This window comes from Homo sapiens, chromosome 10, assembly GCF_000001405.40.
Source record: "Homo sapiens chromosome 10, GRCh38.p14 Primary Assembly".
Taxonomy (NCBI): domain Eukaryota; kingdom Metazoa; phylum Chordata; class Mammalia; order Primates; family Hominidae; genus Homo; species Homo sapiens.
In genome coordinates, this window is record NC_000010.11 from 67,840,727 (window position 1) to 67,854,999 (window position 14,273).

A 14,273-nucleotide genomic window follows, 5' to 3' on the forward strand; every position below is an offset into this window, starting at 1 on the left:
TGTGATCTTGGCTCACCGCAACCTCCACCTGGGTTCAAGTGATTCTCCTGCCTCAGCCTCCTGAGTAGCTGGGATTACAGGCATGTGCCACCATGCCCGACTAATTTTGAATTTTTAGTAGAGATGGGGTTTCTCCATGTTGGTCAGGCTGGTTTCAAATTCCAGACTTCAGGTGATCCACCCGCCGTGGCCTCCCAAAGTGCTGGGATTAGAGGGGTGAGCCACTGTACCCGGCTTAAAAGTTTTTAAAGTGTGTGGTATCTTCCCCCTGGCTCTCTTACTCCTGTTCTCACCATGTAACATGTCTACTCCCACTTCACCTTCTGCCATAAGTAAAAGCTCCCTGAAGCCTACCCAGAAGCTGAACGGATGCTGGCTCCATGCTTCCACATTCTGCAGAACTGTGAGCCAATTAAACGTCTTTTCAGTATAAATTACCAAGTCTTAGGTATTCCTTCATAGCAATGCAAGAATGGCCTGACACAAAAAATTGGTACCAAAGAGTGGGGCCTTGCTATAAAGATACCTGACAAAGTGGGAGCAGCTTTGAAACTGGGTAATGGGCAGAGGCTGGAAGACTTTGGAGGGCTCACAAGAAGACAGGAAGATGAGGGAAAGTTTGGAACTCCTGCAAGACTGGTTAAATGGTTGTGACCAAAATGCTGACGGTGATATGGACAGTGAAGTCCAGGCTAATGAGGTCTCAGATGGAAATGAGGAACTTATTGAGAACTGGAATAAAGGTCACTCTTGTTATGCCTTACCAAGGAACAAAGCTATATGGTATTCATGCCCTAGGAATCTGTGGAAGTTTGAACTTAAGAGTGATGACTTAGGGTATCTGGCAGAAGAAATTTCTAGGCAGCAAAGTGTTCAAGAAGTGACCTGGCTGCTTCTAACAGCCTATCCTCAGATGCAGAAGCAAAGAAATGACTTAAAGTTGGAACTTATATTTAAAGGGAAAGCAGAATGTAAAAGTTTGGAAAATTTGCAACCTAGCCATGTGGTAGAAAACAAAAACCCATTTTCAGGGCAAGAATCTAAGCAGACTGCAGAGCAACCACTTGCTAAAGAGATTTGCATAAATGAAAGGGAGCCAGGTCAGAGGCTGATAGACAAGACAATGAGAAAAAAACCTCAAAGGCATTTCAGAGATCTAAGAGGCAGCCCCTCTCATCACAGGCCTAGAGGCCCAGGAGAAAAGAATGATTTAGGGGGCCAGGCTCAGGGTGCTGCTGCCCTGTACCACTATGGGAGGCTGCTTCCTGCATCCAGCCACTTCAGCCCCAGCCTCAGCTCAAAGGGGCCCAGGTACAGCTCAGGCCACAGCTCAGAAGGGTGCAGGCTGTAAGCCTTGGGTGGCTTCCATGTGGTGTTAAGCCTGCAGGTGTTCAGAATGCAAGAGTGAAGGAGGTTTGGCAGCTTCCTCCTAGATTTCAGAGAATATATAAGAAAGCCTGGGTACCCAAGAAGAAGCCTACCACAGGGACAGAGCCCTCACCAAGAGCCTCTACTAGGGCAGTGCAGAGGGGAAATGGGAGGTTGGAACTTTAACATAGTTTGGAAAGTCTCCCTGCCTGAATCTCATGTTGAATTGTAATCCTCAGTATTGGAGGTAAGGCCTGGTGGGAAGTGATCAGATCATGGGACTGGATTTCTCATGAATGGTTGAGCACCATCCTCTTGATGCTGTCCTCACAAAAATGAGTGACTTCTCTGAGATCTGGCTGTTCAAAAGTGTGTATCACTTCACTCTCTGTCTCTCTTGCTCCTGCTCCCACCATAGGAGATGCCTGCTCCCCCTTCACCTTCTGCTGTGATTGCAAGCTTCCTGAGGTATCCCCAAAAGCAGATGCCTGTGTTATGCTCCCTGTGCAGCCTGCAGAACCATAAGCCAATTAAATCTCTTTTCTTTATAAATTACCCAGTCCCAGGTATGTCTTTTCTTTTCTTTTCTTTTTTTTGAGACAGAGTCTCACTCTGTCGCCCATGCTGGAGTGCAATGGCACAATGTCAGCTCACTGCAACCTCTGCCTCCTGGGTTCGAGCAATTCTCTGCCTCAGCCTCCTGAGTAGCTGGGATTACAGGCGCCTGCCACCACACCTGGCTAATTTTTTGTATTTTTTAGTAGAGATGGGATTTCACCATCTTGGCCAGGCTGGTCTTGAACTCCTGACCTCGTGATCCACCCACCTTGGCCTCCCAAAGTGCTGGACTACAGGCATGAGCCACTGCACCCGGACTTAGGTATTTCTTTTTTCTTTTTTTTTTTTTTTGTGATGGAGTCTTGCTCTGTCACCCAGACTGGAGTGCGACGGCGCAGTCTTGGCTCACTGCAACCTCCACCCCCCGGGTTCAAGCGATTCTTCTGCCTCAGCCTCTCAAGTAGCTGGGACTACAGGCACAAGCAACCATGCCCAGCTAATTTTTGTATTTTTAGTAGGGACAAGGTTTCACCATACTGACCAGTCTGGTTTCAAACTCCTGACCTTGTGATCCGCCTGCCTCAGCCTCCCAAAGTGCTGGGATTACAGACATGAGCCACTGCACCTGGCCAGGTATTTCTTTATAAAAATGTGGGAATGGCCTAATACAAACTCCCACACAGAGTCCCCACTGGGGCACTGCCTAGTGAAGCTGTGGGAATAGGGCCCCCACCTTCCCGGCCCAGAGTGGTAGATCCACTGGCAGCTCACACCCTGCACCTGGAAAAGTCACAGAGTCACAGGCACTCAACTCCAACCCAGGAGAGCAGCCTGCAAAGCCACAAGGGCAGGGCTGCCCAAGGGATTGGGAGCCCACCCCTCACAGCAGTGTGCCAAGGACGTGAGACATGGAGTCAAGAATTATTTTGGATCTTTAAGATTTAATGAATGTCCTGCTGGGTTTCAGGCTTGCTTGGGACTTGTTGCTCCTTTCTTTTTTTTCCTTTTTTTTTTTTGAGGTGGAGTCTTGCTCTGTTGCCCAGACTGAAGTACAGTGGCACAATCTCGGCTCGCTGCAACCTGCACCTCCCAGGTTCAAGCTATTCCCCTGCCTCATCCTCCCTGAGTAGCTGGGATTACAGGCATGTGCCATCACACCCGGCTAATTTTTGTATTTTTAGTAGAGACGGGGTTTCACCATGTTGGCCAGGCTGGTTTCCAACTCCTGACGTCAGGTGATCCACCCTCCTCAGCCTCCCAAGGTGCTGGGATTACAAGCATGAGCCACAGCACCCGGCATGTTGCTCCTTTCTTTTAGCTGATTTCTTCCTTTTGGAAAGGGAATGTTTGCCCAATGCCTGTATCTCCATGTATCTTGGAAGTAAATAACTTGTCTTTTATTTTACAAGTTCATAGGTGGAAGGAACATGGCTTGAGTCTCAGATAAGACTTTGGACTTGGGACTTTTGAGTTAATGCTAGAATGAATTAAGACTTTGGGGAACTATGGGCAGGGGATAATTGTATTCAGCAATGTGAGAAGAATATGAGATTTGAGGGGTCAAGGTAGAATGATGCAGTTTAGATGTTGTCCCCTCTAAATCTCATGTTGAATCATAATCCCCAATGCTGGAGCTAGGGCCTGGTAGGAGGTGATGGGATCATGGAGCCAGATTTCTCATGAATGGTTTAGTACCATCCTCCTGGTGCTGTCCTCAGAATAGTGAGTGAATTCTCATAAGATCTGGCTGTTTAAAAGTGTGTGGTATGGCATCTTCCCCCTCACTCTCTTGTTCCTGTTCTTGCCATGTGACATTCCTGCTCCTGCTTTGCCTTCTGCCATGAGTAAAAGCTCTCTGAGGCCTCCCCAGTAGCCAAGCAGATGCTGGCTGCATGCTTGTACAGCCTTCAGGACCACGAGCCAATTAAAACTCTTTTCTTGGCCGAGTGTCACAGCTCATGCCTGTAGTTATAGCACTTTGGGAGGCTGAGGCAGGTGGATCACTTGAGCTCACGAGTTCGAGACCAGCCTGGGCAACACGGCAAAACCCCATCTCTACAAAAAATACAAAAATTAGCTGGGCATGGTGGCGTATGCCTGTAGTCCCAGCTATTCCAGAGGCCGAGGTGGGAGGATCACTTGAGCCCAGGAGCTCAAGGCTGCAGTGAGCCACAATCATGCCACTGCACCCCAGCCTGGGTGAGAGAGTGAGACCCTGTCTCAATGAAAAGTAAAAATATATATATATTCTTTATAAATTACCCAGGTTCAGGTATTCCCTCATAGCAATGCAAGTATGGCCTAAGACAATGTGATTTTTAGGAACTTTTTAACCCAGGAATTCATAGAAGCACTCACAAAATAAATGAAAAGCAGGAGAAAGGAGCAAAACACATAAGCTATCATACAGAGATGGAAATGTCCATTGCGTGTTCAGTTAAAGGTAAGGAAAATGACCTTATGGCAAGGTATGTTGGAGAGAATGCCTTTAATACTGGGATTGAACAGAAGACCTGGGCCAGAATGTAGAAAGCCTTGATGATCAGGTGGAAGACACTGAGTGAGTATGGATGCAATAGGAACTGTTGTAGGTTCTTGAGCATGTGAATAACATGTTAAACTTAGAGCTTTTAAGATTAGTCTGGTCAGCCAGGCGCGGTGGCTCATGCCTGTAATCCTAGCACTTTGGGAAGCCGAGGGAGGTGGATCACGAGGTCAGGGATTCAAGACCAACCTGACCAACATGGTGAAACCCCGTCTCCACTAAAAATACAAAAATTAGCCAGGCATGGTGGCTCACATCTGTCATCACAGCTACTCGAGGGATCACTTGAACCTGGGAGGCAGAAGTTGCAGTGAGCTGAGATCGCACCACTGCACTCCAGCCTGGTCAACAGAGTGAGGCTCCATCTGAAAAAAAAATTAATAATAATATAAATGTATTTCATACATTTATGGAGGCTTGGAAGTTCAAGATAAAGGTGCCAGCAGATTCAGTGTCTGGTAAGGCTTACTCTTTGCTTCATAAATGACACCTTGTTGCTGTGTCCTGACGTGACAAAAAGGGCAAGGCAGCTCCCTTCAACCTTTTATAAGGGCACTAATCCCATTCATGAATACAGAGCCCTCATGATTTAATCACTTCCCAAAAGGCCCAACTTCTTAATTCCATCACAATGAGTATTCAATTCCAACATAAATTTTGGAGGGACACACTCAAACCACAGCAATACACTTCTGAATCTTAGTGCTCTTTTTCCCTTTTCACTTGATTGTCTCATTCTTTTCAACATCTGCACAGCATTCCACCCTGGTCATACAATACTTTATTTGTCTTTTTTTTTGAGATGGAGTCTCGCTCTGTCACCCAGGCTGGAGTGCAGTGGTGCGATCTCAGCTCACTGCAACCTCCACCTCCTGGGTTCAAGTGATCCTCCCACCTCACCCTCCCGAGTAGCTGGGACTACAGGCACGTGTTACCACACCCAGCTAATTTTTTGTATTTTTAGTAGAGGGGTTTCACCGTGTTAGCCAGTATGGTCTCGATCTCCTGACGTCGTGATCTGCCCGCCTCGGCCTCCCAAAGTGCTGGGATTACAGGTGTGAGCCACCATGCCCGGCCTAACCAGTGTCTTTTTTAAGTTGCGTATGGATTAGAAAATTTTCATTACTTATTTTAATAAATATTGGCATAGGATATTGTTCAGAAAAAGCAATAATACAAGATGAGCAGATGTTTTGAGGGAAGTTGGAGTGCCACTTTGTTATTCCTGCTCTGTTCCCCAAAACTAACCTTCAAACCTGTTGCAGCATCTCATGGTAGGATATAATTTTAATATTCTTTGGGATTTTCTCCCCATCTATAGAGGTAACAAAAATCATGACAAGACCACTAGCTAATCTTTTGGAGAAGTGATAAATAATAAAGCTAGAGCCACTCCTCCTTATACCAAAATAAATTACAGAAAAATCAAATAACACAGAAGCCATGGAAAAAAATCTCATGAGCATAACTATATAAAAATTAAGTGGCCTGGCACGGTGGCCCATGCCTGTAATCCCAGCACTTTGGGAGGTCAAGGCAGGTGGATCGCTTGAGCCCCAGAATTTGAGACCAGCCTAGGCAACATGGCAAGACTCAGTCTCTACAAAAAAAAAAAAAAAAAGCACTTGTATCCCAGCTAGCTACTAGGGAGGCTGAGGCAGGAGGATCGCTTGAGTCTGGGGAACTCCAAGCTGCAGTGAGCTGAGATCACGCCACTGCATTCCAGTCTGGGCGACAGAGCAAGACCCTGTCTCAAAAAAAAAAGTAAGCACATTTATGTGACCAAAAAAATACAAAAGCAAAATCAGAAGGCAAATAATATACAAAGAAAAAAATTTCATAATTCTCATAACAGACAAAAGGCTAACTTCCTTAATATACAAGTGCAGACAAATCAATTTTAAAAAGCTTAACAACACAACAGAAAATTAAGCCAAAAATGCCGGGCTTGGTGGCTCACGCCTGTAATCCCAGCACTTTTAGGAGGCCGAGGCAGGCGGATCACCAGGTCAGGAGATGGAGACCATCTTGGCTAACACGGTGAAACCCCGTCTCTACTAAAAATACAAAAAAAAACAAAATTAGCCGGGGGTGGTGGCAGGCGCCTGTAGTACCAGCTACTCGGGAGGCTGAGGCAGGAGAATGGTGTGAACCTGGGAGGCGGAGCTTGCAGTGAGCGGAGATCACGCCACTGCACTCCAGCCTGGGCGACAGAGCGAGACTCCGTCTAGAAAAAAAAAAAAAAAAAAAGAAAGAAAGAAAGAAAATTAAGCCAAAAATACAACTACTTTCAGAAATACAAACGACCAATAAACATACAAATAGTAGTGCAACATCACTAATAATTATGAAACTGCAAATCAATCCAAAGAGGATAAAGTTGTTCACCTCTCAGATTAGCAAAGGTTTGATAATACCCATGCCAGAAAACAGAAATGACGAAGAAAGCATTTCCATACATTGTTGGATGAGAGTGTAATTTGGTACAATTTGGCAATTTGGTGTATTTATCACCTTTTATAAAGCATATCTATACTTGACAGGGCAATTTTGTCTCTACAAATTCAGCTTGTGGATATACACCAAAATATGTTCAAGAGGACCACTGCAGCGTCGTTTGCAACAGGAAAAAATATATATACAACAAAATGTTCATCGGTGGAGTTGAGGAGGGCAGGAGATGAATAAATTATGCTATTTGTAGGATGAACTATTGTATTGCCAGTGAAAAGAGAATAAAGATAGCTTTTTATGTGCAAGTATGGAAAGATGTCTAACGAGTGCTATCAAATGAAAAAACAGGTTTGAGAAGAGTATTACAGTATTATCTCTATTGTGTACTTTTTAATAGTATGTACATTTGCACTTGTAATTTTTTCTAAAGATAACTGCCTTTAAAAAGCAAGCAACAGGCTGGGAGCGGTGGCTCACGCCTATAATCCCAGCACTTTGGAAGGCCGAGGTGGGCAGATCATGAGGTCAGGAGTTCAAGACCAGCCTGGCCAACAGGGTGAAATCCCCGTCTCTACTTAAAAAAAAAAAAAAAAAAAGCAAAAATTAGCGTGGCATGGTGGTGCGTTCCTGTAATCCCAGCTACTCGGGAGACTGAGGCAGGTGAATTTTTTTAACCGGGACCCAGGAGGTGGAGGTGCAGTGAGCCAAGATCGTACCACTGAACTCCAGCCTGGATTACAGACCGAGACTCCGTCTCAAAAAAAAAAAAAAGCAAGCAGCAGGCCGGGCGAAGTGGCTCATGCCTATAATCCCAGAACTCTGGGAGGCTGAGGCGGGTGGATCACCTGATTGAGGTCAGGAGTTCGAGACTAGCCTGGCCAACATGGTGAAACTCCGTCTCTACTACTACTACTAATAATAATTAGCTGGGAGTGGTGGCGCACACCTGTAATCTCAGCTTCTAGGGAGGCTGAGGCAGGAGAATTGCTTGAACCCGGGAGGCGGAGGTTGCAGTGAGCCGAGATTGCGCCATTGCATTCCAGCTTGGGCAACAAGAGCCAAAGTTCATCTCAAAAAAAAAAAAAAAAAGCAAGCAACAGTATTCTTTTAGGGGAGGAACTGGGCAGGTACTCAAAAGAAGATTTTCATTTCCTTTTATACTTTTTTAAACTGTGTGAAGTCGATGTAGTCATCCCATAATTTTTCTTCTGTATGGAAGAATATAGCGTATAGTAGAAATTATGTAGAACTTTTTAACAGAGTTAAAGCTCTGTGGAGGCCGGGCGCGGTGGCTCACGCCTGTAATCCCAGCACTTTGGAAGGCCAAGGCGGGTGGATCACTTGAGGTCAAGAGTTCCAGACCAGCCTGGCCAGAATGGTGAAACCCCATCTCTACTAAAAATACAGAAATTAGCCGGGTGTGGTGGCGGGCGCCTATAGTCCCGGCTACTCGGGTGCCTGAGGCAGGAGAATTGCTTGACCAGGCAGGCGGAGGTTGCAGTGAGCCGAGATCGCGCCACTGCACTCCAGCCTGGGCAACAGAGTGACACTCCGTCAGAAAAAAGAAAGGGGAGGGCAGGGGAGGGCAGGGGAGGGCAGGGAAGGGGAGGGGAGGGGAGGGGAGGGCAGGGAAGGGGAGGGGAGGGGAGAAGAGAAGAGAAGAGAAGAGAAGAGAACCACACACACAAGACAAGAGAAGAGAAGAGAACCACACACACAAGACACGGAGAGTCCGATGCTCAATCCTAGGCCTTGGAGGCCTGTTCCTCCCTGCCGGGAAGCGTCTCTCACCCGAGACTACAACTCCCATAAGGCATCGCGAGCATCGCGAGAACGGCGCCACAGAGGAACCGGAAACAAGCCAGTTACTTTCATACTCAGGGACACCGTCCCCCCCTCCGCCCCCCGCCCTCCGTAAGTGCTATTTTTACATCGAATGCCCTAGTCTGGAAGTAGGTAAACTGAAACTAAGCTCAAATCAAAAGGAGAAAGGCTGGAAAACAAGAGGCTACAAGCTCCAGAAGCTCCGAGCGAGGATGAAAATTAGCCAGCCCACAGGTGGGCTCTGCGCGGCCCTGAAAGTCGCACTCTGACCTGACCCTTTCCGCCTCTCGTTTTTCCTTCCAGCCTCGCTTCAAAGTTCTGTATTGCAGAATGAAATCGGCGCCTTTCCCCAGCGGTTTTTCCAAATACGAGCAAAGGAGGCACAAAACGCAGGTTCCAGAAACTGTGCCTGCAACCATTCGTCCTTATTTCCCGACACACGGGCCCCTGCTCCCCGCTAAGGCTGGGGTCCTGGACACGAGTTTTGCGCTCTGATAGAAGGGCTTAGATTCCAGATTGACACTGGGCTCTCTAAAGCCTGCTCCTCAATCTACTGATCCGGTCCAGCTTAAGATCCAGTAGAAAGAAAACATAGCCTGCCCGGACCGTAACCTTTTTGTTTCAGACCCTGCATTTGTAAAATAGCCTAATAAAATCTCTCCCTGGCTTACAGAGCAAGACAGCGTCCTGGTCCAAGAACCGGATGAGTCAAAAGGCGTTACTGTTGAGTCAGACATAGAATACATGAATACCTAGAAATTCGTAAATGATTCTCCAAAGGCTGTTGAAATAGCGTTTTCAGGCCGGGCGCGGTGGCTCACACCTGTAATCCCAGCACTTTGGGAGGCCGAGGCGGGCGGATCACCTGAGGTCAGGAGATGGAGACCATCCTGGCTAACACGGTGAAACCTCGTCTCTACTGAAAATACAAAAAATTAGCCGGGCGTGGTGGCGGGGGCCTGTAGTCCCAGCTACTCGGGAGGCTGAGGCAGGAAAATCGCTTGAACCCGGGAGGCGGAGCTTGCAGTGAGCCGGGATCGCACCACTGCCCTCCAGCCTGGGCGACAGAGCAAGACTCTGTCTCAAAAAATGAAAAAAGAAATAGCGTTTTCAAGTTATAATCAGGTGCGATGATGAATGCTATTAATGCCATTTTTAAGAATAGTAAGTGCAGGATGTTGATAGGTTATTCTGGGAGGAAGGGAGATGGGGTATGTGAACTCTGTACTTTCCCCTCAATTTTGCTGTGAAACTAAACTGCTCTAAAAGTAGTTTGTTTGTTTGTTTGTTTTTAAGTAACAATAAGAAGTATAATAGGCCGGGCACGATGGCTCACGCCTGTAATTCCAGCACTTTGGGAGGCCAAGGCATGTGGATCATTTGAGGTCAGGAGTTTCAAGACCAGCCTCACCAACATAGTGAAACCCCGTCTCCACTAAAAATACAAAGATTAGCTGGGCGTGATGGTGGGCACCTGTAATTCCAGCTACTCCGGAGACTGAGGCAGGAGAATCACTTGAACCGGAGAGGCGGAGGTTGCAGTGAGCCAAGCTCGCACCACTGCACTCCAGCCTGGGCAACAAGAGCGAAACTCTCTCAAAAAAAAAAAAATAGACGTATAATAACCACTCATCAGATAAAATTACAACAAATTTAAAGATCTTAATTGGCTTTTATTTGCAATAAATCAGATAACACCTCATTCTGTAAAATAAATTGAGTGTTCTGGGATCTGGGCAGGAGGCTGGCTTTATAAGCCAAAAAGGGGCTGAAGAAAGCAGAAAGAGATAACAAAAAGCAGATTGGTCGTTTCAAAGTTACTTTCCTTGTAAAATTAAAGCACAGCCGACTTTCTTATTATGCCAGCTGAAACTGGCCTGTGTGGGTTTCTCTCCTGATTTCTTGGAAGGTGGAATAAGCAACTTAGTTTTGTTTTGGTGACATGGTAGTTTGGCATGAGTAACTTCATTTTGGTTTTGTCTATTGGGCCTAGTGCAGGAGCTCAGTTCAAACCAATGGCCTATAAATTTTATTTAACACCATTAGTGAGCTCTTATTATGTGCTAGTGACAAAGCTGGGACTTGAACTCTGCTGTGTCTGACTCCAAAGTCCCTGGTGAAGAAAATGTTTAAAATGTTACATCAAATTATCTGGCCAGAATTGTGGCATATTAGAAAATGCTTGTAATCCCAACACTTTGGGAGGCAGGAGGATCGCATGAAGCCAGGAGTTCAAGACCAAACTGGGCAACAAAGTGCGATGTTATCTCTACTAAAAATAAAATACAATAAATTAGCCAGACATGATGGCATGTACCTGTAGTCCTAACTACTCAGGAGGATGACACAAGAGGGTCTCTTGGACCCTAGAGTTCGAGGCTGCAGTGAGCTATGATTCCACCACCAATGCACACCAGTCTGGGGGACAGAGGAAGACCCTGTCTCAAAAAAAGGAAGAAGGGGGGTGGGGAGGAAAGGAAGGAAGGAAAGGGAAATAAAGGAAAGAAAGAAATGCACTAGACGAGGTGTCAGAAGACCTGATTTAGAGTATCAGTTCTGCACTGGCTCCTTGCAGAACCATGCTTCCTTGATTTGTTAAGATTGGACAAAAACAATGATTCTCAAACTTAAAGGTCCACACAAATCACCTGGAGGTCTGGTTAAGATGCAACTTCTGCTTCAGGATGCCTGGGTGAGGTCTGAGACTCTTCTTTTCTAGCAGGCACCCAGGTGAGCTCCATGTTGATCCAAGGACCACACTTGGATTAAAAAAGGACAGGATGACCTCCAGATCCTGTTACACTCTAACACAATGAATCAGTCTTTCCCTTTAACCTTAGCTCCGTTACTATCAAGGAAATATTAAGGAAACTGTCAAAAAAGAGAGTGATTAAAGAAAATTCCTATCTGGGGCTGGGCACGGTGGCTCACGCCTGTAATCCCAGCACTTTGGGAGGCCAAGGCGGGCGGATCACGAGGTCAGGAGATCGAGACCATCCTGGCTAACATGGTGAAACCCCATCTCTACTAAACATACAAAAAATTAGCTGGGCGTGGTGGTGGGCACCTGTAGTCCCAGCTACTCGGGAGGCTGAGGCAGGAGAATGGCGTGAACCCAGGAGGCGGAGCTTGCAGTGAGCCAAGATCACACCACTGCACTCCAGCCTGGGTGACAGAGCGAGACTCCGTCTCAAAACAAAAAAAAAAAAAGAAAAAAAAGAAAATTCCTATCTGAAGCCAAAAAATAAAAAAGAACTATTTAACTTACGATAATAATGTCTCTGGAAGGATTCACAAGCAACCCATAAAGTAGTTGCCTTCAGGGGGAGGGACTAGATGGCCCTAGTACAGGCGTGAGCCATGGCGCCCGGCCCCCGTCTTATCTCTTTAATTGCAATCTAAGTTCCTTATGGGAAGAACCACTAAAATAGATTCCTTTTACACCTCCTGCAGCACTAGGCATATACCATGTTCTCAAGGAACTTTTGCTGAGCCATCAATCTCCTCATGAATATTATTCTATATTTATTTCACTTCCTTTTGGCAGACATTCATTTGGCAAGCTTGGGCTATCACAGAATCGTATGGCATTTGTGACTCTATCACTGAATCAAATGGATTCTCTGAATTTACCACAGAGGACAAGGCCTAGGGCATAGAAAGTATGTATTACAAGTTCTTGTTTTTATTCCATTAATATTTCCTATAGATTAACATCCTTGGTCTACGTGACACCTTGCTGCACATTAGAATCATTGAGGGGAGCCAAAAAAAAAACAAAAACAAAAACAAAAAAACCATGCTGACTGGGTACAGTGGCCCACGTCTGTAATCCCAGCATTTTGGGAGGCAGAGATGGGAGGATCTCTTGAGCCCAGGGGTTTGAGACCCAGCCTGAGCAACATAATGAGACCCTGTCTCTACAAAAAAATTTCTTAAAAAAATTAGCCTGGTGGCATGCATCTGTAGGCCCAGCTACTCAGGAGCAATGGGAGGATTGCTTGAGCCTAGGAGGTGAAGGCTGCAGTGAGCTGTGATTGCACCACTGCACTCCAGCCTGGGTGACACTGTGAGACTCTGTCTCAACAAAACAAAACAAAACAACCTATACCCATGCCCTGAGACTCCCTTTTAATTGGTCTGCAGGAGAGCACTGTCACTCTGGCATTGTCACGTATCTATTTAACTTCAGCAAGAGTTATGTAGCTTTGAAACGATTCCAAACATATGTGAGTGGCATATGTTTTTGCTGTGATAAGAACATGGAGTGTCCTCCTTCCAGTGAGGATGTTATAGCACACCCTATCAGACCACAGATGTAAGTTATTGGCCTCAACTTCTGGAAGTAGTTTTCTATGATCATTAAAATGTTTTTTTGAAAAATACATTCACATAGTAAAAACTCAAAATATAGAAAAGAATCCAATGTGGCCGGGCACGGTGGCTTACGCCTGCAATCCCAGCACTTTGGGAGGCCGAGGCGGGTGGATCACGAGGTCAGGAGATCGAGACCATCCTGCCTAACACAGTGAAACCCCATCTCTACTAAAAATACAAAAAATTAGCCGGGCGTGGTGGCGGGCGCCTGTAGTCCCAGCTACTCGGGAGGCTGAGGCAGGAGAATGGCGTGAACCCACGAGGCAGACCAACAGAGCGAGACTCCATCTCAAAAAAAAAAATTAGCCAGGCATAGTTGCACACATATGTAGTCCCAGCTACTCAAGAGGCTGAGGTGGGAGGATCACTTGAGCCCAAGAAGTCGAGGCTGCAGTGAGCCATGATCTCACCACTGCACTCCAGCCTGGGTAGCAGAATGAAACCCTGACTCAAAAAAAAAAAAATATATATATATATATATATATATACACACACACACACACACACACACATATATAATACATATATATACACACACACATACATAAAATATATATACACACATATATACATATATACACATATATACATATATACACATATACACATATATATACATATATACACATATATATACATATATACATATATACACATATATACATATACACACACACACACACACACACACACACACACACACACACACATATATATATATAAAGTTCTCTGGACTCACGTTCTGGCCCCTATAGACATTTGGGTTTATGAGGACCCATGATTTACACTTATTAAAATATATATTCAGTATCCAAATAGAAACAGCACATTCAAATACAGCTTGCTGCTTAAATGCATGTGGTCTACAGTCAGACAGGGATTCAGGGCCATTAGGTGGGATCCCACAGCTAGTAAGTGGTAGCTGAGCAAGCAGGGAGGAAAGGGTGGCTTTTTCCTTTCTTCTTGATCAGCTACCACTTACCAGCTGTGGGATCCCACTGAATGGTCCTGTGCCTCAGATTGCCCCTCTTCATCTGTACAGGGGGGATGAAAATAGCACATCCCTCACAGGGTTCGTTTGAGGATTGAACAAGATAGCATGAATTACTATGGTATCTGGTACCCAATAACTGCTTCATAAATATCA

The 14,273-nt window shown here is 45.7% G+C and overlaps 3 annotated features.

The window, feature by feature from the left end:
* Nucleotides 8,671-8,720: an enhancer, noted in NCBI's record as "active region_3456". NCBI's record gives its function as "activates an Ori minimal core promoter by ATAC-STARR-seq in GM12878 lymphoblastoid cells {active_cell/tissue: GM12878}" and the evidence as "EXISTENCE:reporter gene assay evidence [ECO:0000049][PMID:35858748]".
* Nucleotides 8,751-8,810: an enhancer, noted in NCBI's record as "active region_3457". NCBI's record gives its function as "activates an Ori minimal core promoter by ATAC-STARR-seq in GM12878 lymphoblastoid cells {active_cell/tissue: GM12878}" and the evidence as "EXISTENCE:reporter gene assay evidence [ECO:0000049][PMID:35858748]".
* Nucleotides 12,805-13,099: a silencer, noted in NCBI's record as "tiled region #12986; HepG2 Repressive non-DNase unmatched - State 23:Low". NCBI's record gives its function as "represses a minimal TATA promoter and a strong SV40 promoter by Sharpr-MPRA in HepG2 cells {active_cell/tissue: HepG2}" and the evidence as "EXISTENCE:reporter gene assay evidence [ECO:0000049][PMID:27701403]".